At 54.0% G+C, this 1,725-nt stretch overlaps 1 annotated feature.

The window, feature by feature from the left end:
- Positions 327 to 827: an enhancer, noted in NCBI's record as "H3K4me1 hESC enhancer chr7:44389311-44389811 (GRCh37/hg19 assembly coordinates)". NCBI's record gives its function as "activates a minimal SCP1, AML or CMV promoter by ChIP-STARR-seq in naive H9 embryonic stem cells {active_cell/tissue: H9 hESC(naive)}" and the evidence as "EXISTENCE:reporter gene assay evidence [ECO:0000049][PMID:30033119]".

The raw sequence follows: 1,725 nt of genomic DNA, 5'->3' as shown, positions 1-1,725 counted from the left end.
ACCCTAGCACTGCCTCCCTTCCCTTTCCCCAGTCCTTTGGCCAGAGAGGACAGCTCTGTTTATTTGTTTTGTCAATGCCTCTTGGAAGTTCATGTTACAGGGCTCTCTGTGCCCATTATGGGGAATGTGGGAGATAAAAAGCCCAAGAGCCTACCATCATGTTGTTTTCAAGTCCCAAGGCTTCTAGCTAGTCTGCCACCTTCTTTCCAGCTTTCTTGGTCCCTTTGTAGTGTCTGTTGAATTATGTCCATGGAGGGAGGATGTGGGAAAAGTGAGTCTGTACCGTCTTGTTCTGGAACTGGAAGTCCACTTCTGGGAGATTTTACCATCATAATATTTTCTCTATAAAACCAGGCAACATCACGGCCCCTAAGATGGCAGTTTTGTTCATTGGTAGTCCACACAAAAGGTAGCAGGACTTTAGGCTACCAGAAGGTTCTCTGGTCATTGTGAGGGGTGGGGAGAAGGCAAGCAAAGAAGAGCTGGGAGGTGGAAAGAGAAACTGGAGATAACGTGAAGGAGTGGTCCAGAGGACCACATGTCTATCAAGAGCCCACTGTGTGCTTATGGGGAATAGGGAGCCCTGGCCTCACAGATCCCTCTGTCTGGTGGGCACAAAGTGCCAGGGGCTGTTGCAGCACAGCATGGAAAGTGCAAAGGCTCTCAGGTGTTGGGGACAGAGGGATGAGGAAAAGAAAACAGGATGCGGCAAGGAGAGGAGGAAAGGCTGAGTCGGGCCTCTGAGCTCCAGAATCTCATGGTTCCTATCGGACCTGGGGGCTGACGTTCCCCTCTGGAAGCTCTCAGGCCCCACACCCTCCCCCCATGGATCTGAGACCCCTGCAAGCAAGAAAGGAAGGCAGAGCCAGGCATGGGGCCAGGAGCAGCTGAGGGGGCAGGGTCCCCAGGTGGCACAGGAGGGAGTAGCGCTCCTTGTGGTAGCAGGAGGCGGCCACTCTTCTCAGCTGTTCCCATCCCAGGGATAAAAATACCAGCTTGCAAAATCAGCTGCTAATCTTGTTGCTAGGTAGAGTTCAGCTCCTGAATTGCCATTTTGTGCTAAGTTTGGCTGAACAGCTTTTCTTGGGAATCAAAGACTCTCTGCCTGCAGGCTCTGGGTCCCTGGAGGAAGCCCAGGGAGGCAGGCATTCTACTCATTGCCTTATTGGGTGAGGTGGGGGTAGCCTGGTTATTATTCCCCACCCCACCCCACCCTTCCGCCAGCCAGCCATAAAAAAACAGGCAGGCACATGTCCCGCCTGAACTGTAGAGGGGCAGGTGTGGCCCCATGGAGAAGGCCTGTGTCCCAGACTGGCCAAGCGGCCTTTGACTCTCTGGGAAAGCCATGGCAGAGGTCCACACTTCACAGAGACTCAGTGCAGACACAGCAAATGAGGTTGGGAGCTTCCTTCTGGGGAGGGACCAGGAACTGGCTGAGGTGGGCTGGGGCAGGGTGACATGGTGAACACCCTTATGTCTCTGGGGACTGCATACCCCAAGGAGTTGTGTGAGGAACCCGAGAGGGATGGGGAGGCACTGTTCTTGGGGTCAGGTCCTTAGGGGCCTTGCTGACATGGCCACAGATAGGGGCATGTTAATGACTATAATTAAAACCCCGAAGCAGGTCTGCAGCCAGTGATGGTAGCCAAATCCAGGCAAAGAGCTGCAAGTGCCTGAGATGAGGGGATGCAGGGCTTGTGGCTAGGAGGGGCTGTACGTGCTTGA

Source organism: Homo sapiens, chromosome 7, assembly GCF_000001405.40.
Source record: "Homo sapiens chromosome 7, GRCh38.p14 Primary Assembly".
In the NCBI taxonomy this organism is placed as follows: domain Eukaryota; kingdom Metazoa; phylum Chordata; class Mammalia; order Primates; family Hominidae; genus Homo; species Homo sapiens.
The sequence above is the reverse complement of the archived record's forward strand: the minus strand, read 5'-3'. Positions and strand labels throughout refer to the sequence as shown.